The 26,344-nt window shown below is 47.9% G+C and overlaps 2 long non-coding RNA genes and 1 other non-coding gene across 3 annotated transcripts in view, besides 2 other annotated features; 2 read left to right on the plus strand and 1 right to left on the minus strand.

Annotated features, from left to right (window-relative positions):
- The window catches only part of TBX3-AS1 (TBX3 antisense RNA 1), an 85,697-nt gene that overhangs the window by 39,117 nt on the left and 20,236 nt on the right, over positions 1–26,344 (plus strand). The window lies entirely within an intron of this gene.
- Positions 12,347–13,347, minus strand: LOC105369999 (uncharacterized). The gene is made up of 2 exons (XR_945379.3): positions 13,259–13,347; positions 12,347–12,552 (listed from the first exon to the last, which is right to left on the minus strand). It is a non-coding gene; the product is annotated as an uncharacterized LOC105369999 (long non-coding RNA).
- Positions 14,048–14,891: an enhancer, noted in NCBI's record as "H3K4me1 hESC enhancer chr12:115173261-115174104 (GRCh37/hg19 assembly coordinates)". NCBI's record gives its function as "activates a minimal SCP1, AML or CMV promoter by ChIP-STARR-seq in naive H9 embryonic stem cells {active_cell/tissue: H9 hESC(naive)}" and the evidence as "EXISTENCE:reporter gene assay evidence [ECO:0000049][PMID:30033119]".
- On the plus strand, positions 16,296–16,390 carry LOC124900329 (small nucleolar RNA SNORA27). Its single transcript, XR_007063632.1, has one exon. It is a non-coding gene; the product is annotated as a small nucleolar RNA SNORA27 (small nucleolar RNA).
- Positions 17,456–17,750: an enhancer, noted in NCBI's record as "tiled region #2968; HepG2 Activating DNase matched - State 8:EnhW, and K562 Activating non-DNase unmatched - State 22:ReprW". NCBI's record gives its function as "activates a minimal TATA promoter and a strong SV40 promoter by Sharpr-MPRA in HepG2 cells, with weaker activity in K562 cells {active_cell/tissue: HepG2 | K562}" and the evidence as "EXISTENCE:reporter gene assay evidence [ECO:0000049][PMID:27701403]".

Here is a 26,344-nt window from a genome sequence, read left to right on the forward strand (position 1 = left end):
TTTCCTGGAACCGTGGCGTGGTCCCCAAGCCCTGCACAAACACCCTCTCCACCTGTCAGCACTCCATAGGCTCAAGTGAGTCCCTGTCACACTTGGAGAAGAATTTGGAGCGTGTGTCTCCCAGCCACCCTCCAGCCCTTTTTTAGCGGGAGCCTTATTTTAAAGGATGTGTTTATTAGCTTAATCAGTTGCTTTTATTATCAGCTGTGTGACCTTGAGGATGTAACGTAACCTCTCTAGGTCTCGGTTTTCTTGTCTGTAAAATGGAAGGTTATGATGAGAATTAAGCATGGCCAAGTATTTGATGTCAGGCACTAAGTCAAAAAAAAAAAAAAAAAGGAATGTCCATGTATATGGCACTCAGACAGTGCCAGACACCAATTAAGTGCACAGTATTTGATAGTTATTTTCTTCCTCTTTTATCTCATCCTCTTCTTCCTTCGTCTCCTTCAGTCATGGAGTATGGACCCTGTGTATCAGAGAAAGCACAAGAAAAAATAATAGAATTCATAATTTCTCCCTTCCTTCGTTCCTTTCTTTTTTTTTTTTTTTTGAGACAGGGTCTCACTCTGTCGCCCAGGCTGGAGTGCAATGGTGTGGTCTTGGCTCACTGCAACCTCTGCCTCCTGGGTTCAAGTGATTCTTCTGCCTCAGCCTCCCAAGTAGCTGGGACTACAGGCGCGCACCACCACACCCAGCTAATTTTTGTATTTTTAGTAGAGACGAGGTTTTGCCATGTTGGCCAGGCTGGTCTCGAACTCCTGACCTCAAATGATCTGCCTGCCTCGGCCTCCCAAAGTGCTGGGATTACACGCGTGAGCCACTGCACCCGGCCTAATTGGTTAGATACTTTCTATGTGCCATGTGCTATGATAGGCCCTTGGTGTATTTGGTTGCTAATGGTTGCATTAGCACTGGGAATTTCCTTCCTTCCTTCCTTCCTTCCCTCCCTCTCTCTCTCTCTCTCTCTCTTTCTTTCTCTCTCTCTCACTCTCTCTTTCTCCTTTCACAGGGTCTCACTCTGATGCTCAGGCTGGAGTACAGTGGTGCAATCTCTGTCACTGCAAACTCCGCCTCCTGAGTTCAAGTGATTCTCCTGCCTCAGCCTCCCAAGCAGCTGGGACTACAGGTATGCACCACCACACCTGGCTAATTTTTTGTATTTTTAGTAGAGACGGGATTTTGCCATGTTGGCCAGGCTGGTCTCGAATTCCTGACCTCAAGTGATCCTTCTGCCTTAGTGTCCCAAAGTGCTGCATTTACAGGCATGAGCCACCACAGGGGGCCCAGGCTTAGAGATTTTAACTTGGCCAAGCCTATCCTCCTAGGAAATGGAAGGGCTAAGATACAAGGAGTACAAAGACAAGAGAGATTGGTTGGGACTCTGCTCTTTATTTTTATTTTTATACTATGGGGTCTTGCTCTTGTCACCCAAGCTACAGCAGTGGTACAATCACAGCTCGTTGCAGCCTTGAACTCTTGGGCTCAAACAAGCCTCCCACCTCAGCTTCCCGAGTAGCTTGGAATATAGGTGTGCACCACCATGCCTGGCTAATTTTTTATTTTTTGTAGAGATGGGGGTCTTGCTATGTTGCCCAGGCTGGTCTTGAACTCCTGGCCTCAAGCAATTCTCCCTCCTTGGCCTCTCAAAGCACTGGGATTATAGGTGTGAGCCACTGCACCTGACCCATTCTGCTCTTTAGATATCACTGCTTTGAGTGGTGGAGAAACCGGAGGGCAAGAACAACCACAAAGAACTGGAGCAGTCTGGAGTTGGTACTTGAGTTGAGTCCGCCTGAGAGTGTAGTGGAGAAGATGTGGTTCTTTGAATTTCTCTTTGGACCTGTAGTCTTCTTTTATTTTATTTATTTATTTATTTATTTTGGAGATGAAGTCTCACTTTGTCACCCAGGCTGGAGTGCAGTGGCACGATCTTGGCTCACTGCAACCTCTGCCTCCCTGGTTCAAGCAATTCTCCTTCCTCAGCTCCCCGAGTAGCTGGGACTACAGGAGCACGCCGCCATGCCCGGCTAGTTTTTTGTATTTTAGTAGAGACGGGGTTTCGCCATGTTGCCCAGGCTGGTCTTAAATTCCTGAGCTCAGGCAATCCACCCGCCTTGGCCTCCCAAAGGGCTGGTATTACAGGCGTGAGCCACCGCGCCCGGCTGTGTCGTCTTCTTTTAGAATTGTTTGTTTTTATTTTGTTGCACAGGCTGGTCTCTAACTCCTAGCCTCAAGCCATCCTCCCGCCTTGGCCTTCCAAAGTGCTGAGATTACAGGTGTGAGCAGCCATCACAACTAGCCTACAATAATTTACCTTAAAAACAAAACAGGCTGGGCGTGGTGGCTCATGCCTATAATCTGAGCACTTTAGGGGGGCCGAAGTGGGAGGATCGCTTAAGGCTAGGAGTTCAAGACCAGCCTAGGCAACGTAGTGAGACCTTCTCTCTACAAAACATCAAAAACATAGCCAGGCGTGGTGGCGCATGTCTATAGTCCAAGCTGCTTGGGAGGCTGAGGCAGGAGGATCACTTGAGCCTGGGAGGTCAAGGCTACAGTGAGCCATAATCACACCACTGCACTCCAGCCTGGGTGACAGAGCCAGACCTTGTCTCAAAAATAAATAAAAATTTAAAAGAAAACAACAACGCACATACACACAAACACAAAAACAACAACAGAACATTGTATTTATTAGCTAGGGCTGCCATAAGAATATACCACAGACTGGGTGGCTTAAACAACAGAAATGTATTCTCTCACAGTTCTGGAGGCTAGAAGTCTAAGAACAAGGTGCCTGCAGAGTTGTTTTCTGGCGTGGCCTCTCTCCTCAACTGCCCTCTTGCTGCCTCTCTGCATGGTCATTCTTCTGTCCAAGTGTGCCCCTGTGCCCCGGGTGTCTCTCCATGCATCCTAATCTTCTCTTCTCTTCTTCTTCTTCTTTTTTTTTTTTTTTTGGAAACAGTCTCACTCTGTCACCCAGGCTGCAGTGCAGTGGCACAGTCTCGGCCTACTGCAACCTCCACCTCTCCAGTTCAAGCGATTTTCCTGCCTCAACCTCCCAAGTAGCTAGGAATACAGGCACATGCCACCCTGCCCAGTTAATTTATTTTTTATTTTTTAGTAGAGATGAGGTTTCACCATGTTGGCCAGGCTGGTCTCAAACTCCTGGTCTCAAGTGATCCTCCTGCCTCGGCCTCCCAAAATGCTGGGATTACAGGCGCAAGCCACCGCGCCCAGCCCTTATCTTCTCTTCTTCTAAGGACACTGGTTATGTTGGAATATGGTCTATCCTAAAGGCCTGATTTACTTAATTATCTTTTTCAATGTTCTGTCTCCAAATACAGCCACATTTTGAAGGACCAGGAATTTGGGCTTTAAATTATGAATTTTGGGGGGACGTAATTCAGCCCATAGCAAATGCCTTTGGAATTATTATTATTATTATTGTTATTTTTTTCAGATGGAGTCTCTTGCTCTGTCACCCTGGCTGGAGTACAGTGGAGTGATCTCAGCTCACTGAAACCTCCGTCTCCCAGGTTCAAGCAATTCTCCTGCCTCAGCCTCCTGAGTAGCTGGGATTACAGGGGTGTGCCACCACACCTGGCTAATTTTTGTATTTTCAGTAGAGATGGGTTTTCACCATGTTGGCCAGGATGGTCTCGATCTCTTGACCTCGTGATCCACCGACCTTGGCCTTCCAAAGTGCTGGGATTACAGGTGTGAGCCACCGTGCCTGGCAAGCTTATTTGCAAAGCATCATCTAAAACCCTAGAAAGGAGGTGACATTATTATTCCCATTTTAAATTTTATTGTATGTATGTATTTATTTACTTACTTATTTACTTACTTTATTTTTACTTTCCAGACAGGGTCTCTCTTTGTTGCCTAGGCTGGAGTGCAGTGGAACGAACTTGGCTTATTGAAGCATTGACCACCTGGACCCAAGTGATTCTCCTACCTTAGCCTCTTGAATAGCTGTGACAACAGGTGTGCACTACCACACCCAGATAAATTTTGTAATTTTTATAGAGAGGGCATTTGACCATGTTGCCCAGGCTGGTCTCAAACTCCTGAGCTCAAGTGATACTCCTGCCTCGGCCTCCCAAAGTGCTGGGATTACAGGTATGAATCTCCGCACCTGGCCTATTTTATTTTATTTTTTATAGGGACCATTGCAATGGGGTCTTGCCAAGGGGGAGACAGAGGGTGGACTCAACTCCTCATTATCTCCATTTTACAGATGAAGAAAATGAGGCACTGAGAGATTACATAACTTCCCTTGAGTCATATTTGCTTGTAAGTGGTAAGGCTGGATGTTGAACCCAGGACAAAGGGGTATGTATGCATGTATGTATGTATTTATTTTTAATTTATTTTTTAAAGACAAGATCTCTGCTGTCACTCAGGCTCAAGTACAGTGGCAAGATCATAGCTTACTGCAGCCTTAACCTCCTGGGCTCAAGGAATCCTCCCGCCTCAGCCTCCTGAGTAGCTGGGAATATAGGTATATTCTGCTGTACCTGGCTAGATGTTAAAAGCTAGTGGCTTTTAAGCTTTGTGCTATACCACCTTTTTCAAGACCACTGAGTTCAGATAGTGACCTCAGAGTGAGGACACAATGGCACTCCAGCTCAGACAGGTCTCTGGGGATAGTGACAGAATTCTCTCTTCCCAGTGTCCACTCAAGGGACAGAATTCTGTACCTTAGGCCAGAATTTCCTCCAGTTCTTTCCATCCCTTGGGCAACCTACATATCTGTGGCCTATTCTAGGGGACTGGAAGTGACAGCTGAGACCTGCTTAGTGACGTGACATCATGGGAATTTGAGAGCACAGGCTTTGAGGCTGGCATGGTGATAGTAATTACTGGCCTCAGCATGACGGGGAGGGTGACTGAGATAAGCGCCTGGAAAGAGGCTGGCAGGGTGCCGGGCACTTAGAAGGCACCCGGTGTGGTGGAGATGGTTGGCCTTGTGGATTGTCCTGTAGTCTGTTAATTCCTAGGACTGGAATACTAATTTTATGGTTGGGGGATACTTGATAGAACTTGTTTCTGCAGGATGAGAAGGAAAATGCTCTGCAAATTTGCAGAGCACTGACTATAAAAATTGAGACCAGAGAACTTACTATAAGCTGGGTACCCTGGGAGGCACTGACATATATCATCTCACAATCTTTGCAAACAACTCTAGGGAACGGGACACCCCTGTTACAGATGAGGAGGCTGAGGATCAGAGATGAGCTTGCTCAAGGTCGCTTAGCTAGTAAGTGGTAGAATTGGGCTTCTGATCATTTCTTTTGCTTAAAGATTTCTTTGATGTGGGACTAGTTCCTTCCTCTCTGCTATATCATTTCTTTTTCTTTTTCTTTCTTTTTTGTAATTTTTTTTTTTTTTTGAGATGTGGTCTTGCTCTGTTGCCCAGGCTGGAATGCAGTGGCACAATCACGGCTCACTGCAGCCTCGACCAGCCAGGCTCAAGTGGTCCCCCCACCCCAGCTTCCCAAGTACCTGGGACTACAGGTGCACACCACCATGTTCAGCTAATTTTTAAATTTTTTGTAGAGAAACGGTCTTGTCATGTTTCCCAGGCTGGTCTTGAACTCTGGGGCGCAAGCAATCCTCTCTCCTGGGTCTCTCAAAGTGCTGGGATTACAGGCATGAAGCACTGTGCCCAGCCTCCTCCATGTCTTTCTTTCTTTTTTTTTTTTTTTTTTTTTTTTTTTTTTGAGACAGAGTCTTGCTCTGCCACCCAGGCTGGAATGCAGTGGCGCGATCTCAGCTCACTGCAGCCTCCGCCTTCCGGGTACAAGTGATTCTCCTGTCTCAGCCCCCCGAGCAGCTGGGAATATAGGTGCCCACCATCATGCCCGGCTAATTTTTGTATTTTTAGTAGAGACAGGGTTTTGCCATATTGGCCAGGCTGGTCTCGAACTCCTGACCTTAGGCGATCTGCCTGTCTCGTCCTCCCAAAGTGCTGGGATTACAGGCATGAGCCACTGCACCTGGCCCCTCCATGTTTTTCAAGTCTGCTCACATGATCCTTCTCATTAAGGCCTCTGCTGTCCATCCCATCCAAGATTGCAAACCTCTCCTTCCCCCTCCAAACTACCTTGCTCTTGTTCATTCTATTTTGATAGTGCATCTTGCCTTTTATTTTAGTTGATTTTTATTTTTTGTGGCGGGGCAGAGTCTCACTCTGCTGCCCAGGTGGAGTGCAGTGGCATGATCTCAGCTCACTTCAACCTCTGCCTCCTGGGTTCAAGAGATTCTTGTGCCTCAGCCTCCTGAGTAGCTGGGATTACAAGCTTGCACCACCATGCCTGGCTAATTTTTGTATTTTTAGGGGAGGCGGGGTTTCACCATGTTGGCCAGGCTGGTCTCAAACTCTTGGCCTCAAGTGATCCACCTGCCTCGGCCTCCCAAAGTGCTGGGATTACAGGCGTGGGCCACTGCGCCCGGCTACATCTTGCCTTTTAACAAGCCATGGAATTCCCTTACTTATGATGCTTGTGCTTGATTATATTTCTCTTTATAGTAAAATGTAAGCTCCATTAGTGTTTAAAAAGTATTTATCTTTATTTAAACATTTTAATCGATACATAATATTTGTATATATTTGTACAAATGTGTACAAATATTTATGGGGCACATGTGATATTTTGATACATCCATACAACATGTAATGATCAAGTCAGGGTATTTAGGCATGGGCATTTTTGTGGATTTTCAAAATAGTCATGGGACTGGGCATGGTGGCTCATATCTGTGATCCCAGCACTTCTGGAGACTGAGGTGGGAGAATTGCTTGAGCCCAGGAGTTTGAGACTAGCCTGGGCAACATAGAGAGACCTCACCTCTACTTAAAATTTAAAAATTAGCTGAGCATGGTGGTGCACACCTGTAGTCCCAGCTACTCGGGAGGCTGAGGTGGGAGGATCACTGGAGCCCAGGAGGTCGAGGCTGAGGTGAGTTGTAATCATACCACTGCCCCTCCAGACTGGATGACACAGCAAGACCCTGTCTCAATTAAAAACAAAAACAAAAAACAAAACTCCAACCCAAAACCAAATGAAAGACAAAACAGTCGTGGGTTAAATGAACACATCAACTTCCCACTCCAAGTTGAGAGCTCCTTTTATTACACCTAAAAGTTTTTCTGGACCAGGCATGGTGGCTCACATCTGAAATCCCAGTACTTTGGGAGGCTGGGGTGGACGGATCACTTGAGGTGATGAGTTCGAGACCAGCCTGGCCAACATGGTGAAACCCCACCTGTACTAAAAATACAAAATTAGCCTGGCATGGTGGTGCATGCCTGTAATCCCAGCTACTTGGGAGGCTGAGGCAGGAGAATCACTTGAATCTGGGAGGTGGAGGTTGCAGTGAGCTGAGATTGTGCCACTGCACTCTGGCCTGGGAGACAGAGTGAGACTCCGTCTCAAATAAAATTTTAAAAATGTTTTTCTGAACACGACTTCCTGTGTCTTTTGAATAGGGATGGATTACATTATCTCAGCCAACATCTCAGGCCTTCTCAGAAGGTCAAGCACAGTAATGGATGTAATAGCATCATGTCTAACAAAGTGTTAGGCCAGTGAACGTGAGGGTGCTGGCTGTTCTTCCTTTCCCTGATCCCAGGGCTGGGCACCTCCCTGCTTTGCCTCCTGTTTGTCTAATCAGTGTGTTCCCCTGGCTGGTTTTCATCTCCTTTTCCATAGCTTTCCCCTTCCCACGCCAGGGATGCCACGTGGCTGCTCCATCATTTATAGTGACGGCCAAATAATTGAATTGTTATTGGTTTGGAGCGGGGTGAGGGAGGGGGAGAGATTTTTGCTAAATTGTTTCACTTTAGATAATGTTCATCTCCTGCTCTGTTGTGATTTATTTCTGCTGTTGGCAGTCTTGCTTTCTGGAAATTAATTCTCTGATTGGAATGGAAAGGAAAGTTGGTGGTGGCAGGGTGTGTGGTGTGGGGATTCCTTTTGGACGTAAGATCTGGATGAAGAGCTGGTCTGAGTTTCTCTGGGAGTGGCTGGAGGGAGGAGAGAATTTGGGTGTTGAGAATCTCGGGGTGCCTAGTATGTGCTCCTCACTTTATTTGAGTGGCACATTGTATTATAATCTCTTGAATCCGGTGGGCCTTAGGCTCCGGTCATCTGCTGTTTATATGGGCACACTCACTTCCCAGATCTCCTCTGGAAGACCCTCATATCCACATTTTGCAGATGGGAAAATTGAGGCTCAGACTGATGCATGTCATTGTACCAGGTATCTACTGCTCTGTAACAAACCACCCCAAACTTAGTGGCCTAGGAACAACTGTTTTATTATGTTCACAGATTCTGTGGGTCAGGCATTTAGGAATGAAACAGTGGGAATAGCTTGTTTCTACTCTGTGATGTCTGGGCCTCAGGTGGGAAGACTTGAATGACTGGGCGTGTTTTGAATAGCTCAGAGCCTGAGCCATCTGAAGCCTCTTTTACTCATATGTCTGGAACTGAGGCTGGATGACTCAAAGGCAGGCCTCAGCTGGGACAGTTGATTGGAGGACCTCCACATGGCCTCTTCTTGCATCTTGGGATTCTTCAAGTCATGGTGACCAAATTCTAAGACGTTCTTGAGATTGAACACAAGAGAACATGTGTTCTGGGAGAACCAAGTGGAAGCTGAATGGTCTTTTTCGACCTGGCCTTAGAGTCAGGCAGCATCACTTGCTAGAGCAGAATGCAGGCCTAAAATCTGACCAGAGAATTCAGTGGAGACAGAGAGCAAGAGCACGTCTGGAGAAAAGTGCCCCACTCCCCAACCCTGCCAGAGGATGCTTATTGAAGAGGCCACACCATGGGTTCCGAAACAAGGTCACTCAGTAAAAAAGGTCTATTGGTTATATGTGTGTGTGTGTGTGTGTGTGTGTGTGTGTGTGTATACACAGTTATATGCATGTGTGTATTTTATATATATATATATTTTTTTTTCTTTTTCCTTTTTTTTCTGCAGGGAAAATCCCAACTCTGGCCTTAAATAATAAAGACTTTTTGTTGTAATCCCAGCACTTTGGGAGGCTGAGGCAGGTAGATCAGTTGAGGTCAGGAGTTTGAGACCGGCCTGGCCAACATAGTGAAACTCCGTCTCTACTAAAAATACAAAAATTAGGCCAGGAGCAGTGGCTCACACCTGTAATCCCAGCACTTTGGGAGGCCGAGGCAGGTGGATCACTTGAGGCGAGGAGTTCAAGACCAGCCTGGCCAGCATAGCAAAACTCCGTCTCTACTAAAAATACAAAAATTAGCCGGGTGTGGTGGCGCGTGCCTATAGTCCCAGCTACTCAGGAGGCTGAGGCAGGAGAATTGATTGAACCCGGGAGATGGAGGTTGCAGTGAGCTGAGATTGTGCCACTGCACTCCACCCTGGGCAACAGAGTGAGACCCTGTCTCAAAGAAGAAAAGCAAATTTAGCCGGCTGTGGTGGCATGAGCCTGTCATCCCTGCTACTTGGGAAGCTGAGGTGGGAGAATCACTTGAAGCTGGGAGGCAGAGGTTGCAGTGAGCCAAGATTGTGCTATTGCACTCCATCTTCAGCCAAAAAAAAAAAAAAGATTGTTTTTTTCATAACTAGAACTCCAGAAGTAAGGAAAGCTAGTTAATTTGATGGTTCAAAAAGTCATCAAGAGCTGGGCACAGTGGCTCACATCTGTAATCCCAGCACTTTGGGAGGCTGAGGCAGGTGGATCACCTGAGGTCAGGAGTTTGAGACCAGCTTGGGCAACATGGTGAAACCCTGTCTCCACTAAAAATACAAAAATTAGCTGGGCGTGGTGGCACACGCCTGTGGTCCCAGCTACTCAGCAGGCTGAGGCAGGAGAGTCGCTTGAACCCGGGAGGTGGAGGTTGCATTGAGCCGAGATCATGCCATTGCATTCCAGCCTGGGTGGCAGAGTGAGACTCTGTCTCAAAATAATAATAATAATAATAATAATAATAATAATAATAATAATAATTTTAAAAAAAGAAGAGGAAAAAGAGAGAAGTCACCCATCCAAAGTGGCTTGGCTAGTAAGTGGCAGAATCAGATTCGAACCAAGGCAGTCTGTCTGCAGTGCCCTCTCATGAAAGCACTGTGCTACACTTCTCTCTTTTGAGATGGGGTATAGGAAAAAGAGAGAGAGAGAGAAACCAAACACACACCCCTTTAAGCAGAGAGAAAGGGAATCCGATGTGGCTGAGCATAGGGTTGGCCCCGACAGTCATCTCTTACAGATAGATATATTGACTAAGCTCAGAAAGCCTACATGGTAAGTCCAAGGTCCCAGGAAGTTAAGTGGCAGAACCAGGATTTATATCCAGATTCAGATCACTGGGCTTTTCCCAACTTTTTTTTTTTTTTTTTGAGATGGAGTCTCGCTCTGTCACCTAGGCTGGAGTGCAGTGGCGTGATCTCGGTTCACTGCAACCTCCGCCTCCCAGGTTCAAGCAATTCTCTGCCTCAACCTCCTGAGTAGCTGGGATTACAGGCGCCCACCACCACACCCAGCTACTTTTTTGTATTTTTAGTAGAGATGGGGTCTCACTGTGTTAGCCAGGATGGTCTTGAACTCCTGACCTCGTGATCCACCCACCTCGGACTCCCAAAGTGCTGGGATTACAGGCGTGAGCCACCGTGCCCGGCTTCCCAACATTTTTATCCTGTTCACCTTACCTCCCATCATTATCTCAACTTTTAAAATTTGTTTAATTTTAAACTGAAATGAACAGGGGAAAGTATCTGCCAGGGGAGAGAGGTACAGAATGAATGGGATTGGTACTGAGTTGCTGCTGGTAACCCATGGAGGAAGAAGGCAGGATGCAGGATCTGATGTTTAATGGATTCTTCGAGTCTGATGACAGCAGCTTCATTCCAGGCTTAAGTGCATCTAGCCACGGGCTCCTAGTTGGTTGGACCAGAGAGGGGCAGAGCCAGAGGCCTCATGGATGGGGCCTGACTGGGTTCTAGGGAGAGGTGCAGGTTAAGGCAGGATCAACCTCTTCTGCAGCATACAGAACTGGCCTCTGGGAGAGGAGGATGGGGAGATGATGACTTCTTCCCTCTCCTGTTTCCCCACCCATTGCCCAAAGCACAGCAACAGGCCAATGGGCAGTGTCCTCACATGGGCAGTCCTAGGTTGGTGGGGGTCGGTGGGGGATCCCTCCCTCATCCTGGTTGGCTGAGAGGGCCACACACAGACACAGACAGACAGAGGTCTCTCTGAAATGGATGGTTAATTGTCTCCAGGCCAGGGAGACCTGCAGAATTAGGGCTTTCCGGGACTGGACCAGGAGACCTGGGAGGCAGAGACCCTGCCCCTACCCCCAGCCCTCTCATTTCCTTGCCAGCAGTCCAGAAATCCAGGTCGTTTTCAAAGCCTGAGGCTGCTGTCTACCCAAGCATGGGGTCACTTCCGGGGTCACTGGCTGGACAAGCAGGTCAATTTTAGCAGGAAACCAACATTTAAGTGGTGCTGGCTAAGTCAGGGTTCTGAAAGCTGGCTCTGACCTTTGCAAAAGCCTGGTCTTTTCACCTCATTTTACACCTGGAAAGCCTGAGTGCTCCAGAAACTAACATTTATGAAACAAACACACACACAGACACATACAATCTTAATAAATGCTTAAATATATACATATATGTATATATTTATATATATTTATACATGTAAATATATATAAATATATATATTTATACATGTAAATATATAAATATATATTTACATATATAAATATATATATTTACATGTATAAATATATATTTATATTTGTAAATATATTTTATATATAATGTATTATATATTATACATATTTTAAATATATAATATATAATATATATTATACATATTTTAAATATATAATATATATTATATATATTATACATATTTTAAATATATAATATATATTATATATTATACATATTTTAAATATATAATATATAATATATATTATATATTTTAATTTATATATAATATAATATATAAATACATAATATATATTTATATTATGTATTTATATATTTATATATTATTTATATATTTATATATAATATATTTATATATTATTTATATATTTATATATAATATATTTATATATTATTTATATATTTATATATAATATATTTATATATTATTTATATATTTATATATAATATATTTTTATTTATATATGTATATGTATATATATACACACACATACATACACACACACACACAGGACACACAATGCTTTATGTATATACATACACACAAACACACAGACATACATGCCAGGCATGGTGGGAGGTACTTCCAAATTGCTATCACTTGCAATCTTCACAACCCTGACAGAGGAGGCTTTTTGATTTTATTGTTACAAATTCTCATTGCATAGATGGGCATACTGAGTCTCAGAGAGGTTAAGAGGCTTGTTTAGGATCACTTAGCCAGGAACTGTCAAGTGGGACTTGAAGTCTCCTGTTGTCTCCATGCTCAGCCTTCTTTTCACTTTAACCTTGAACCTCTGAACTCCAGAGCCCAGTGGAGGATCCCTGGAGGAGCAAATAGAAGAAACCCAAAAGGGACTTGAAAGCGGGTCCCCTCCCTCACCTGGATTCCCAGTCCGAAGAGGAGGAAGCATCCGCCCTCCTTCCCTCCTTCTGACCCACCCAGCCACCCACCCAAGGTGCCATTAAAGTTAATTGTTTTTACTGCCAGTTTAACATAGTCTTGTAAATCTTTTTACGATGTGGCCGGGGAACACCGAGCTGCATGCAGGACTCAATGGAGTTGGAGCACAGGAGCGTGGCCCCAGAGCTATCTGGAGGGTGTAAAATGGGAGCGCCACGTCTCTCCAGGGGCACCCTCTTCCCTCCTCCTGGAGCACCAGGCCCAAGACCCTCATCTGAGTGGCAGTTCTCCCAGGCGAGGCTAGGATTGTGCCTGGAATGCTAAGATCCTCCAGGTCACCCCCACTGTTTCGAGAGGCCATCCCTCTTGACTCTAAGTTGTGGAATCCTCCAGAATCCGAGGCCTCCAAGCCCTGGAGAGAGGTTCTGGATCCTTCAGAAAGGTTGAGGGGTGATTCCCATATAGAAAGCTTGGCGCTGGGTCTCTCCATTTGCCCACCAAGGACCGGCAGGCAAAAGCACTGCAAGGTGGACGTTTAGGGGTATGAGGGGCGCACATTCCATGGCGCAGGGACTCTGGAGGTGCAGGTCTTCTACGAAGGTGATTCCGCCATTTCCCAGCCATTACCAGCGGAGAGAGCTGAGTCTTCCTGAACAGCGCCTTTAAGCTGGTTTGTCCCAGGTTGGTGGAGCGGGACTCAGCGGTTTCTGTCCCTTGGGTAGACCTTGGCTTCCATCTGTCTGGGTACAGGCACGATTTCCCTCTCCCGGTTCCTGGCATCCCCATTGTGAGCCATCCATGTCAAAATAAGGGTCTTAACTCCCACCGTTGTCACTAGCATTAAACAGACACTCCTAATGTGCCCAGAAAAATGCCAGGCGCACGCTAAACATCTGTAAACCACGGTGACAGCTCTAAGCGTTCATGATTAAGCCCAAATATTTATTAGGCACTGGTGTGCAAGCCTTGTGTAAGTGCTGAGGACACACAGAGAAGAACGACGTACTTTCCTCTAAAGAGGGTTTTTTGTTATTGACAAAGGAACCTAGAGGGCATCAACGCAACACACAGAGCAGTCCTTCCCAAAACATACCCCGGGAACCGGTTAGAAATGCGCATTCTCAGGCCCAGCTGAGACCAATTGAATGAGGTGTCCGGGAGCGGGGCCCAGAATTCCTGTTTTAACAAAGCCCCCACGTGATTGTGAGCTCCTTAAGGTTCGAGAACCCTGATGCAGTGAACGCAGGCGCAGGCTCTGGAGTGAGAAATTGTGGGTTTTCATCTCCTTGCATCTATGTTGTGGGGCTTTGACCAAGAAATGGTAACAAACTCAGAAGGGGAGAAGGGGAAAGAGAGTGGATGGAGTAGGGGCGGTGAGAAGGAAGACAAGGGAATAACCAGCCCTCTTCCCAACAGGGCTTCCTCGATCAGAGGCCGAATTTCCGAGCAGGATAGACCAGGGGGCTCGAACTAATAATTCTGAGGGGTCAGAAAGGCCTCTCAAAACGCGCCGCGATTTGAAACCTGCAAACGCGGGGTTCAGGTCGGCTCCGTTTCTTCCAAGCAGCCTGCCTTTGGGGCACCCAACCCTTCCCAAGCCTCGGTTTTCCCGATCTTGTGGGATCCTTGCGGCGCGAATGGGGTTGGAAGCACCTTGGAAGCTACAGAGTACCGGGTCGGGACAATTTCCGGCACTGCCCCAGTTCAGTGGTTTATAGAAAATTTCTTTCTCTCTCTCAGGTCCACTAAGACCGAGAGAGAGAGAGAAGTCGACTCTGGCACACCCGGGCGAGGGGCTGCCGGGATTCGGGAGCTGGCGCGGTTGATTTTTTCCGAGAATCCTCCACTTGGGGTGACGTCGGGCAGCGCGCGCGGGCCGTGAGGTTAATGCCCAGGCTTTTCTCTAAAGCGTCCGGGAATGATCCGGCGAATAAAACGGGTGTCTGCAAAGTTAATGAATTGTACAAGGAGGCTGAGGGTGGGGACTTCGACCCGGGGAGCCAGAGGCGGTTCTGGTGGACGCTTCCCCGTGCGCCTAGGGGTGCGCTGGGCTTTCCCAGCCGAGGTCTGCAGAGCGCACCGCGTGAGCTTCATCGATCTCATCCTTCTTCCAAGTGGGAGGAGGTGGAGATGCTGGGAGAGTTGTGGGGAGTTGGGAGTGGGTTGGAGGGGGACTGTCTAGATTCTACTCTGGAGGATCCAATCACGTGGTGCTGTTCCCCTGCCTAGAACTTCAAGGTTTTCCAACGGTTTGAATAAAACCCAAACGATGCCCGATGTCCAACGAACGAATGATCTAGCCTCGGCCTACTTCTCAGGACTTAGCTTTGTCCCTGCCCGCGACTTCCCGCTGGGAACGTCGTCCCCGCCACCACCGGCTCTGCTTAGGTTCGAACTCTGGGCCACTCTTCCTACTCCCTCTGGTTTCCAGCAGGAGAAGCGCTTCGGAGGAGGGGGCTAGGGGCGCTCAACCTCCCGGGTTAGAGGAAATGCAAGTTGGGCCAATTTCGCCCTTCCAGACTCCGAGGCGGATAGGCCCAGGGGGCAGCGGCCTTGCCCGGCGGCCACTGCCCTCCTCCTCCCCCGCGCCCCCTGGCTAGGCTTTGAAGAGCTCATTTTAAGAACTTTTCCATTTTCCTTTTGGAGGCGTGTTTGTTCTTCTCAGTCACCTCGCTTTTTTTTTTTTTATGAGCTTCAGCGCTGATCTGCACGTTCTTCCCTCCGTGTAATTTCAATTTGAACTCTCCCCAGAGCGGCCTTTTCCCTCTTGTTGCCTGCCAAGTCGTTTGAAGGCTAAGCAAACATTCTTCCTCCCTCCCGTCCGCGCGAGTCTCGGTCTACACCCGCGAGGGGAGGCGGAGGCGGTTACTCCGAGAGTTCCGGTGGGTTGGAGCCTTTCAGCAGCCGCCTTCAGACTGTTTGGGAGGCCGAAAAGCGGGAGGGGAGGTGAAACACCGGAATAAATGCCCCTACGACCGCTCTTCTCAAGGGTTATGGTGGGCGTGTGTGTGCGTGTGTGTGTGTGTGTGTGTGTGTGTGTGTATACATTCCGTAACCCACATTAGAAGTCTTGGGAAGGGGGCCGGGCGCGGTGGCTCACGCCTGTAATCCTGGCACTTGGGGAGGCAGAGGCGGGAGGATCACTTGAGGTCAGGAGTTCGGGACCAGCCTGGACAACATAGTAAAACCCCCTCTGTACTAAAAATACAAAAATTAGCCGGGTGTGGTGGCATGTGCCTGTAGTCTCAGCTACTCGGGAGGCTGAGGCAGGAGAATCGCTTGAACCCAGGAGGCAGAGGTTGCAGTGAGCCGAAATTGTGCCCCTGCACTTCAACCTGGGCAAGGGAGCCAGACTCCCATCTCAAAAAAAAAAAAAAAGAGAAGTCTTGGGAAGGAGGACAGTGGAGACACACAGGGAATGATCCAACTGAAGTAAGCTTCAGCACTCAGTAAGTGTCCAGCTCTGTTCTTTCCACAGACTGCCTCCTTCAATTTTCAGCCAGTTTTGTGGCTAGGTGTTAACCCCATTTTACAGGTGGGAGACATTGAGGCTGACTGATGAGGTTAGTTTCTCAGCCACCCTTCTAAGATCTAAGTCCACTTTTGAGCAAGTGCTCTGAATAACAATAATTATCTTACAGCTTAATGTACGATTATTAAATACCACTCCCCTTTCATTTTACCATTGAGGCTTATGTCTTTATTGGTTGTTCAAGTAGGGCAAAGGAAATGGCCTTTTAAAACTCAGAGGCCAGGTACTGTGGCCCTTGCCTGTAATCCCAGAACTTTGGGAGGTAGATGTAGTGGATCACTTGAGGCCAGGAGTTAGAGACCAGCCTGGGCAACATAGTGAGATCCCGTCTCTATTTTTTTTTTCTTTGAGACGGAGTCTTGCTCTGTCATTCAGGCTGGAGTGCAGTAGCGCCATCTCAGCTCATTATAACCTCCGCCTACCAGGTTCAAGCGATTCTCCTGCCTCAGCCTCCCCAGTAGCTGGGATCACAGGCATCTACCACCACGCTGGCTAATTTTTTGTACTTTTAGTAGAGATGGGGTTTCACCATGTTGGTCAGGTTGGTCTGAACTCCTGACATCCAGTGATCCATCCACCTTGACCTCCCAAAGTGACATTACAGGCGTGAGCCAGTGTACCCGGCCTTCTATAAAAAATTTAAAAAATTAGCCAAGCATGGTGGTTTGTACCTGTAGTCCCAGCTACTCAGGAGGCTGGGACAGGAGGATTACTTGAACTCAGGAGGTCAAAGCTTCAGTGAGCTGTGATTGTGCCACTGTACTCCAGAGTGGGCAACAGAGAGATACCCTGTCTTAAAACAAAACAAAACCAAACCAGAGAAACTGGGTGCCTGTCATTGTATCCTGTCAGAGAAAACATATTGACAAGAAACATGAAAACAAAAAAAAAAAAGATTAAGTACCTATAACAACTGCCCTTTTTAATATATATTTATAATGTTTATTGTTATAAAAAAGTAGAGATGAGGTGTCGCTATATTGTCCAGGCTAGTGTTGAACTCCTGGCCTCAAGTGATCCTCCCACCTTGGCCTCCCAAGGTGCTGGGATTACAGGCATGAGTCACTGTGCCCAGCCACAACTGCCCTTTATTAAGCATGTAATTATGTGCCAGGCACTGTTCTAAACTGTCTACTTACATATTTCTCACAATGTCTTTATGCATTAGGTACTTTCCACGTGACAGATAGGAAAACTGAGGCACAGAGAAGCTGAGTAACCTGCCCAAGGTCACACAGCTAGAAAGAGCTGGTTGCAGGACTTAAACTCAGGCAGAGGCACCCCTAACCACCAATATGCATCCCTCTGCCCTTCCCAGCTCTCTCCTGAGTCACATGAAAGAAACCCCAGGCTTACTGGTCCTAGGCTGCAGTTTTCCTCCCCAAGGTCGCTCTGGGGACAAACAGGAAGATGGGAGGAGGCATGGGGCAGTTACATAAGGCGGTCACTTCAAAGGTGGCCTCTCCGGGGTGGATAGCCTTGGCTTTGGGCAGTTAGCTGGAGCACCAGCCGGCAAGCTGAGGGCTGTCCACCATCTATCTCCTACCCAATCTCCTCTTAGTCCAACGGCAAAACGGGCAGTGGAGGAGATGAAGGCTGGACTAGGGGGGCGAGGAGGCAGGTCTTGTAATCAAAGCTGGGCAGTGGCAGAAATCAGGTGATGCAAATAAAAATAAAAATAATAACACCAGGCTCAGTGGCTCATGCCTGTAATCCCAGCACTTCGGGAGGCCGAGGTGGGCAGATTGCTTGAGGCCAGGAGTTGGAGACCAGCCTGGCCAACATGGCAAAACCCCGTCTCTATTAAAAATACAAAAATTAGCTGGGCATGGTGGCACATGCCTGAAATTCCAGGTACTCGAGAAGTTGAGGCACAAGAATTGTTTGAACCCAGGAGGCGGAGGTTGCAATGAGCCAAGATTGTGCCACTGCACTCCAGCCTGGGTAGCAGAATGAGACTCTGTTTTAAAAACAGCAGCATTTATTGAGCATTTACTATAAGCTAAGCCCTTATGTTAACAGCTCTGTAGGTAAGGACTTTCAATCGTTTCCTTTAAGGGGCTCAGAGAGGTTAAGTCATTAGTTCAGTCGCACGGCTGGGCTGCCTGCCCTAGTAGGAAGGAGGCCTACAGCAGGCACTAACTTCATGTGAATTTGGCACATTCTGGCGGAAGTGGGTTCTCACTTTCTGTGATGCAAGTTGCAAAACAGAATGAGAGGATCTCAGAATGGTAGGTCCAGCTACCCTCTAGATGGGAAAACTGAGGCCTGGTGAGGGGTGGAGTATGACCTAAGGTCTTACATTAAGTCAAGAGGGAATCCAGTGTAATCTCAGCACTTTGGGAGGCCAAGGCAGGCAGATTTCTTGAGGTCAGGAGTTTGAGACCAGCCTGGCTGGTGATACACGTGTGTGTATCACATGGTGAAACCTCATCTATACTAAAATTAGCTGAGTGTGGTGGTGCACGCCTGTAGTCCCAGCTACTCAGGAGGCTGAGGCAGGAGAATCACTTGAACCTGGGAGGCAGAGGTTGCAGTGAGCCGAGATCACACCATTGCACTCCAGCCTGGGCAACAGAGAGAGACTCTGTCTCAAAAAAAAAAAAAGGCCAGCAAGGTGGCTCACGCCTGTAATCCCAACACTTTGGGAGGCCTAGGTGGGTGGGTCAAGAGGTCAGGAGTTTGAGACCAGCCTGGCCAACATGGTGAAGCCTTGCTTCTACTAAATATACAAAAAAAAAAAAAAAATTAGCTGGGTGTGGTGGCACATGCCTGTAATCCCAGCTACTCAGGAGGCTGAGGCAGGAGAATTGCTTGAACCTGGGAGGCGGAGGTTGCAGTGAGCCAAGATTGCGGCATTGCACTCCAGCCTGGGCAATAGGATGAGACTCTGTCTCAAAAAAAAAAAAAAAAAAAAATGGAATCCAAGTGATCTGAGAATAACTGCCCATGCCCCCACCCCAGGCCAGGGTACTTCCCTCAGCTCTGAGTGAAGAAGAAAGGGTATGGCCTGAGACAGAACTGTGTTTCCCTTCTGTCCTCAACTTATTATGACTTTATGCAAGTCATTCAATCTCCTTGGGCCTCAGTTTCTGCAAAATCACGGTGGTACACGGAGCATGCAAATCATGCAAAATCATGGTGGTACAGATTATTTAATTGCTCGGGCACTTGGTGGTGATAATGCTCGGGGACGCTCATGAGGCCACAGCCAGGAAGCAGAGCCAACCACAACCGGTCCCTCAATCCTGAAGTTCTATGAAATCGAGGCTCCCAGGCTTCTGGAGGGTGATGGCAGTTGGAGGTTCACTGTATCTTTGAAGAAGCACCCTTTCTTTGTCAGGCACCCAAAGGGCCTCTTGATCCCGGCCCAGGGATAGGCTACATGTGCTTCCACAAGAGAAGTAGATTGTCTCCCCATCACTGGGATTTGTGTGGGGCCTCCTTTTTCTTGGGGGTGTGGAACTCAAGGTGGGTGTCGGCTCAGGGTCTCCAAGCCCAAAAGCTTTGCATGTTAATGCCTGCATATATACCCAACCACAGCAGCTTAGGTGCATATAAACTGATGTTAGGCCCACATAGACATAGTCCACGGCAGACCCTCACCCAGCCCACCTTCCTCCACCTCATTATTATTATTGTTATTATTTAAGCGCTGTACTTTGTCTAGTCCCTAATGTGAGCCAGGTGTATTATAATTAATAGTATAACATCTGAGATTCAGAGAGGTGAAAACACTTGCCTAAGATTCACAGCTAGTAAGTGGCCCAAGACAGGGAAAGACTTACACAGATGATCGGAGCTAGGCAGAGGGGAAAGGAAAGGGACATGCAGAGGCAATGTGACAGAGAGAAGAAAACTCCTGGGTGGGTGGGGTGGTTCATGCCTGTAATCCCAGCATTTTGGGAGGCTGAGGTGGGTGGATCACTGGAGGTCAGGAGTACGAGACCAGCCTGGCCAACATGGTGAAACCCCATCTCTACTAAAAATACACACACACACACACACACACACACACACACACACAAAATTAGCCAGGTGAGGTGGCGCACGCCTGTAATCCCAGCTACTCGGGAGGCTGAGGCAGGAGAATCTCTTGCACCCAGAGGCAGAGTTGTAATGAGCTGAGATTGCCCCACTGCACTTCACCCTGGGTGACAGAGCAAGACTCCGTCTCAAAACAAACAAACAAACAACAAAAAAAAAACCCCGAAAACTCCCATCTCCCTTTCCTCCCAGCCCTAAATTGGGCATTAAGCTGGACTGTCCTTGACATGACCACAGACACCCGAAGCCAGAGTCCCAGGAAGTCCATTGTTTCTGCAATTATTGGTATTATTTAAGCTGTGAACAATATCTGCAGAAATGTGCTGATGGATGCTTTGGGGTTGATTTATCCTGAGATTCCCATTCCTTGAGACTCTGTGGGGGAGCTGACCTTTTCACTACAGAAATTTTAGGCTTTCTGCATCTGCTCCAGGAAATGGGAGGAGTAAAGGATGCCACCAGGCACTGGGAGGCATGGGGTGCACTGCGGTGTCCCTCCAGTTAGAGTCAGGTGGAGCCTTGGGCATTATGTTACAGACTCAGAGAGGGACACTGACTTGGCCAAGGCCACCCAGAGTCAGGGAAGGCATTTGGCCTCCAACCTCAACGCGAACTTGCCCTTGCCAGGTGCTGCGGGCTGCCTGGGGGTGCTTTGAGCTGCAGTGGGGAGGAATTGTGGGGCAGAGGGAATGGTGATGGGGTGTCTCCTTAATGGCCCCAGGGGTCATGTGGCTGGTGGCCAAGCTCTGACTCTTGCCTCCCACCTCTCCATGCCTGAGTGCTGTCCTGGTTAGGGCGGGCAGGCATTTTGTTCACATTAGGGGCTGGAGAGGTGGCCACTTGGGAAGGAGCAAAGGAAAGCAGGGTCTGGAGGGTGATGCAGGGGTGGAGGAGTGCTTGCGGCGGTAGGCTGTGAACAAAGGGGCCTGCATTGGATCAGGCAGGGCCACTGAGTGACGATTCACAGGCCAGCAGGGAGGGGCACGCTGCCGGACCCACACAGATGGGGCAGGGAGGAGAGCAAGGAGACTCAGAGTCAAACTCATGCAGAAAAGAGAGCGGGATCCAGATAAACACAGAAAAGAGAGATGGAGGCAGGTCTGGAGGCAGAAAGATAGAGACAGGGTACTCAGGCATGCGCGTGCATGCACGCGTGCACACACACACACACACACACACACAGAGGTACAGACAGCAGAGATAGAGTGAAATGGGAGAACTAGTCAATGTGATTTGTGGCCAGCAGTGGACAGAAAACCAAATCAATGTAAATTAATTTCATTTGGTTTTGTTTTAGAGACAGGGCCTTGCTCTGTCACCCAGGCTGTAGTGCAGTGGTGTGATCATGGTTCACTGCAGTCTCCAACTCCTGAGCTCAAACAAGACTCCTGCCTCAGCCTCTTGAGTAGTGAGGGCCACTACTTTCTTCATTTTTATAAATAAAATAATTTATTTTTATTTTATTTTTTGTAGAGATAGAGTCTTGCTATGTTGTCCAGTCTGACCTTGAACTCCTTGAACTCCCATTGAGTCTTCCCAATGTGCTGAGTTTACAGATTTGAGATGGCTTGAGCCACTGGACCCAGCCTAAGCGGTTTTCAATAACCCTACTTCCACCCCAGAACACCCTATCTCCAATTTAAAATTTTCATCTTGCCAGGTCTGGAGTGGCCATCTGAGCGTGGGCTCTCCAAGGCTGTCTGTGGCTAGGCAGGGCCTCAAGCAGACACTCATTGGGCACACAGAGTCCATGTCCAGCGGTAGGGACATGAGTGTATGCACACACGTGTATCACAGGGTCATAGGACCTCCCCAAGATACAAGCATCCTCATCGAATATGTGTGCACACACTCATGAAGGTCCAACACACACACACACATACACACTTTAATTGCTGCAGCATGCTCCTGTGAGCACACATTTTTGCTGAGCACCTAACATATTCCAAGTTCTAGGCTGAGCATTAAAGGCAGAGAAAAACACAGAAAAGGGAAGGCTGTCTCTCAGTCTCCCAGAGGGAGGCTGCTGGGGTGCTGGGCACAAGGACTGTCCCTCTGGATCCAGGGCATAAGGACTGCCCCTTTGTCATTGGGAATGCCCAAAGACAGGGTCTGTGGTAGGGCAGAAGTGTGTCCTCCCACCACAGTCAGGAACAAGAACATCCACCCAAGGGCAGCTGAGCTTGGGATAAGTTCAGGGCCTCCCAGAGTGTAGATTCTGTCCTTTCTTCACCTGAATTTCCTCCATTGACATGAGAAATCAGGAAGCTGGGGAGGGGATTCCTGGCCCTCCATCAACCCTCAGAACTGGCTGGGTGTGGTGGCTCATGCCTGTAATCCCAGCTACCTGGGAGGCAGAGGTGGGTGGATTGCTTGAGCCCAGGAGTTAGAGACCAGCCTGGGCAACGTAGTGAGATCCCATCTCTGCAAAAAATAAAAAAATCTCAGCATAACTCCCCTCCAATATCTGTTTCTTTGGGGAGTCAGGCATGGGAGCCTACCTGTCTCCTACTTCCAAATAGAGGACTGGCCCCCCACCCCAAAGGGGATCCTGTGGGAAAAGGGGAAAGGTGTGTGATTTCCTTTTGTTCTTGCCCCGGCATCCTGAGAGGATGTGAATTTCCTTCATGCTGGGGTGAGTGTAATGGTGACACCCAGTTGCTGCTCCCAATGCGAGCTGGTCTTTCTTGAATTTCATTTCAAACATCCTAATGTTTGTAACAATGGCCAACATTTATTGAATGCACACCACGCACAGGGCACTATTCTTAGCACTTCGCAAATACGGCCTCATAAAAGGCTCAGAACAGCTCTGTAACTTAGGAGTAATTATCGTGAAGCCCATTTTACAGATGAAGAAACTGAGACCCAGGGAGGGGAGGGCATTTGCCCAAGCTCATATGGCAAAAATTCACAGGCAGACAGGCTCACTTCAGAAGTCAAGCTTTTAACTGACATTCGCCCTTGTAGCCAGGGTTTCTCATCTAGCTCTGTAGGCCCCAGAAATGGACAAGATGTGGTGGGGTGTGTGTGTGTTTATTTGTGTGTGTGCATATTCATGGGTGTTGTAGGTGGTATAGATTCCAGGGGTCGGCCAGAGGCTACACTGGGATTGAAACAGCAGAGGCCCAAGCCAGGGAGAACTTTCAAGGAGAGCCGCCGTTTCCTCTGACTGCAAAGGAGGCCTCATCCAAGCCCACCAGCTCATTTACGCTTCACTTTTGGTTCTGCAGCAGAGTTGCAGAGCGTCCCGGCTCTGCGCCCAGCCTGCCTGCCGTGTAACAAGATAGTTTATATTATACCGCCAAGCAGAAATAAAACTACCGAGTCAAACATTGCAAACAGATGCCGTGGCCAGAGCTCAGGGTCCGTGGCCAGATGCTCTTGTGAGCACCCGGGGAGGGGAGAAGCTGAGTCTGGTCTCTGCAGACTCTGCAGGTTTGGGGGTGCGGGTGCTGCTGGAATTGGAGCGTTGGGGGTCGCCGAGGGGCTTTCAGAAATGGAGACAGGAAGAAATAAAAGTAGAGAAGGGGCGTAACTTTCCTTTCTCTCTTTCACTTACTCCTTCCCCACACATAGTTCAACTTTGTGATTTGCCAATTTCTCCATTTTCATGGCACTTGCTTCCATGTAGAGATAAAGCCTAGGAAGGGATGGTTTTAGCCTCTCTGAAGTCCCCACTGGTTCTCCTAAAATACCCTAAGTAAACCATGCAAAGTCTCCTAAACCCTCTTTTAATAAGATTCTGCCTCGGAGCTCACAAGAAAGTTCTGGAACTTCTATCCTTATTCCTCATGTGGTCTCCTAACCCTTCTCTCCCACCCACCCCTGGTTCCTCTACTGAAGCTCCTAGACTGCAGCCGGCATGCCCTTCTTTAAGCACATAACTGAAAGCGTCATGCTCTTACTCTCAAACCTTCAGTGGTTCTCTATTGTCCCCAGTAGAGTTCCTCAGTTCTCTGAAGAGTGCATGCATCAGAGCCCTCTGGCCCAGATTCCAGGGCCACACTCCTGACCTATAGAATCCAACTTCTCCTGGTCTAGGAATCTGCAGTGCAAATAATCTTAAAATCTTTCTGGAAAAAGACAAGGTGTATTTATTATTATTTTTTAATGAGGACATTTGTAAAGTCAATAGGATGGGGCCAGGCATGGTAGCTCGTGTCTATAATCCCAGCATTTTGGGAGGCCGAGGCAGGTGGATCACTTGAGGTTAGGAGTTTGAGACCAACCTGGACAACATGGTGAAAACCCGTCTCTACTAAAAATACAACAATTAGCTGGGCGTGGTGGCAGGTGCTGGTAATCCCAGCTACTAGGGAGGCTGAGGCATGAGAATCACTTGAACCTGGGAGGTGGAGGTTGCAGTGAACTGAGACCACGTCACTGCACTCCAGCCTAGATGACAGAGTGAGACTTTGTCTCAAAAAAAAAAAAAAAAAAAAAAAAAAAAAGAAAAGAAAATAGAAAAAAGTCAACAGGATGATGTCAAGCTGAAATTTTCTATAGCACTCTTCATTCAGTTATTCAACAGATACTTATAGCACACACCATGTGCCAGGCACCATGCTAGGGGCTGGGTGCTGAGGATACAGCACTGACAATGTAAATAAGGCTCTGAAAGTCTTGGCATGTACTTCCAGTGACTTGAGAGGAGGTAGAGCTTGATAATAGCTGGATGGTACAGGATGATGTTATGGGGAAGCATCTGGGGCTAGCCTTGATGGAAAAGTCCATTATCCCCAAGGATGCGGGGTTGATGCTCCAGGTGGAGGCAGGGCTAGCAAAGGCTTTGAGGCGGGGGAATTGCAAAACAGGATTTTAGACATTTAGACTTAAGCGGCATCACAGACTTGGGAAGTAGGTGAGAAAAATGAGGAAATGGGAATCTTTGCTATCTTAGGCTGCTTATCTTTCCCAGAATCTTATCTTCCTTTCCCAGGAAGTCCCCCGGAGGTGCCTGCAGCACTCCTAGAAATGTTGGTTGAATGAATGAAAGAAGGTTGGTAGGAGAGGAGGGGGAGATAAAAGATACAAAAAAGAGGAAGGAACAAAAAAGAATGAATCAGAAGATTTAAAAAAGAGGAGGAGGCCCCATTGTGTAATTCATGAACTTGAGAAGCTATTTGGAGTAGGGATAAAAACATTTGTGTGTGTGTGTGTGTGTGTGTATGTATGTATAACAGGCACAGACTTTCAAAGCAATCAAAATAACTCTGATTAACACTCACCCACCCTCTCTCTCTCAAACTCATTTCCTCCCAGCCAAGGCCCAGGGCAGACACGACTGACTGTAACCCTAAGAGGGAGGAAAAGCTTGAGCAATTATTTTTATACCAAAAAAAAAAAAAAAAAAAAAAACCCTCAAAGATGCAGGCGTGCTCAGGGCCCCAGCCGAGCACTTTGAGCTTTGAGGTTTGAGCCTGTCGTATGCCCTTACTACCAGCACCCCATCTCTAAGCCTTCCTTCTCTCCCAGCCCCCACATGGTCTGGCCTCTATCTCCTGCCCGCCTGTGACTGACGGGCCAGGCCAGGCACCCCCAGAGACCACCCCCCTCCCCAGCTGGGGGCCTGTCCCCTCTGAAACTGATCCTGTACCTTTGGATCTAATTTGTTTCTCTGTCTGCCGGGTTTGGGGGGGTCTTGCCTGGAGACATGGTGGTCACAGGTGACATTAATCACGTCTGCATCTTCCGAGGGCTGAGGATAGGATATCAGAGAGGTGACCAAGCATTGGCCACATGATTCAAATCATCCCAGCATTGATTAATTGGGTTCATCCTGAGTTTCTGAATCATAACAACTGTTTTTCTCCTTCACCTCACGTCAACAGGCCCTTAAAGGGGAAGGATCCGTTTACCCATCGCATGTGGTGCATTAAGTTGATCAGCTCCTATTAAATGTTAAACGCTGGATGCGTTTTAGACAAACTCGATTTGCTCAAGATACTTTTCAAAGGTTCTGTGATGATAATTAGACATCTCTCTCCCTGCCTCGCCCCTTCCTCCGGCTTTCCTGGGACATGTTTTGGCTCCGGCCTCTGACAGATGGGATGAGGGAACGTGTGGGCTGATAGAGAGGGTCCTTTGGAGGGGGAACTGGATGCGGGGAGAGCCCCCTTAGGCTGTTTAAA

The sequence above is a fragment of the Homo sapiens genome, chromosome 12 (genome assembly GCF_000001405.40).
Source record: "Homo sapiens chromosome 12, GRCh38.p14 Primary Assembly".
Lineage (NCBI taxonomy): Eukaryota > Metazoa > Chordata > Mammalia > Primates > Hominidae > Homo > Homo sapiens.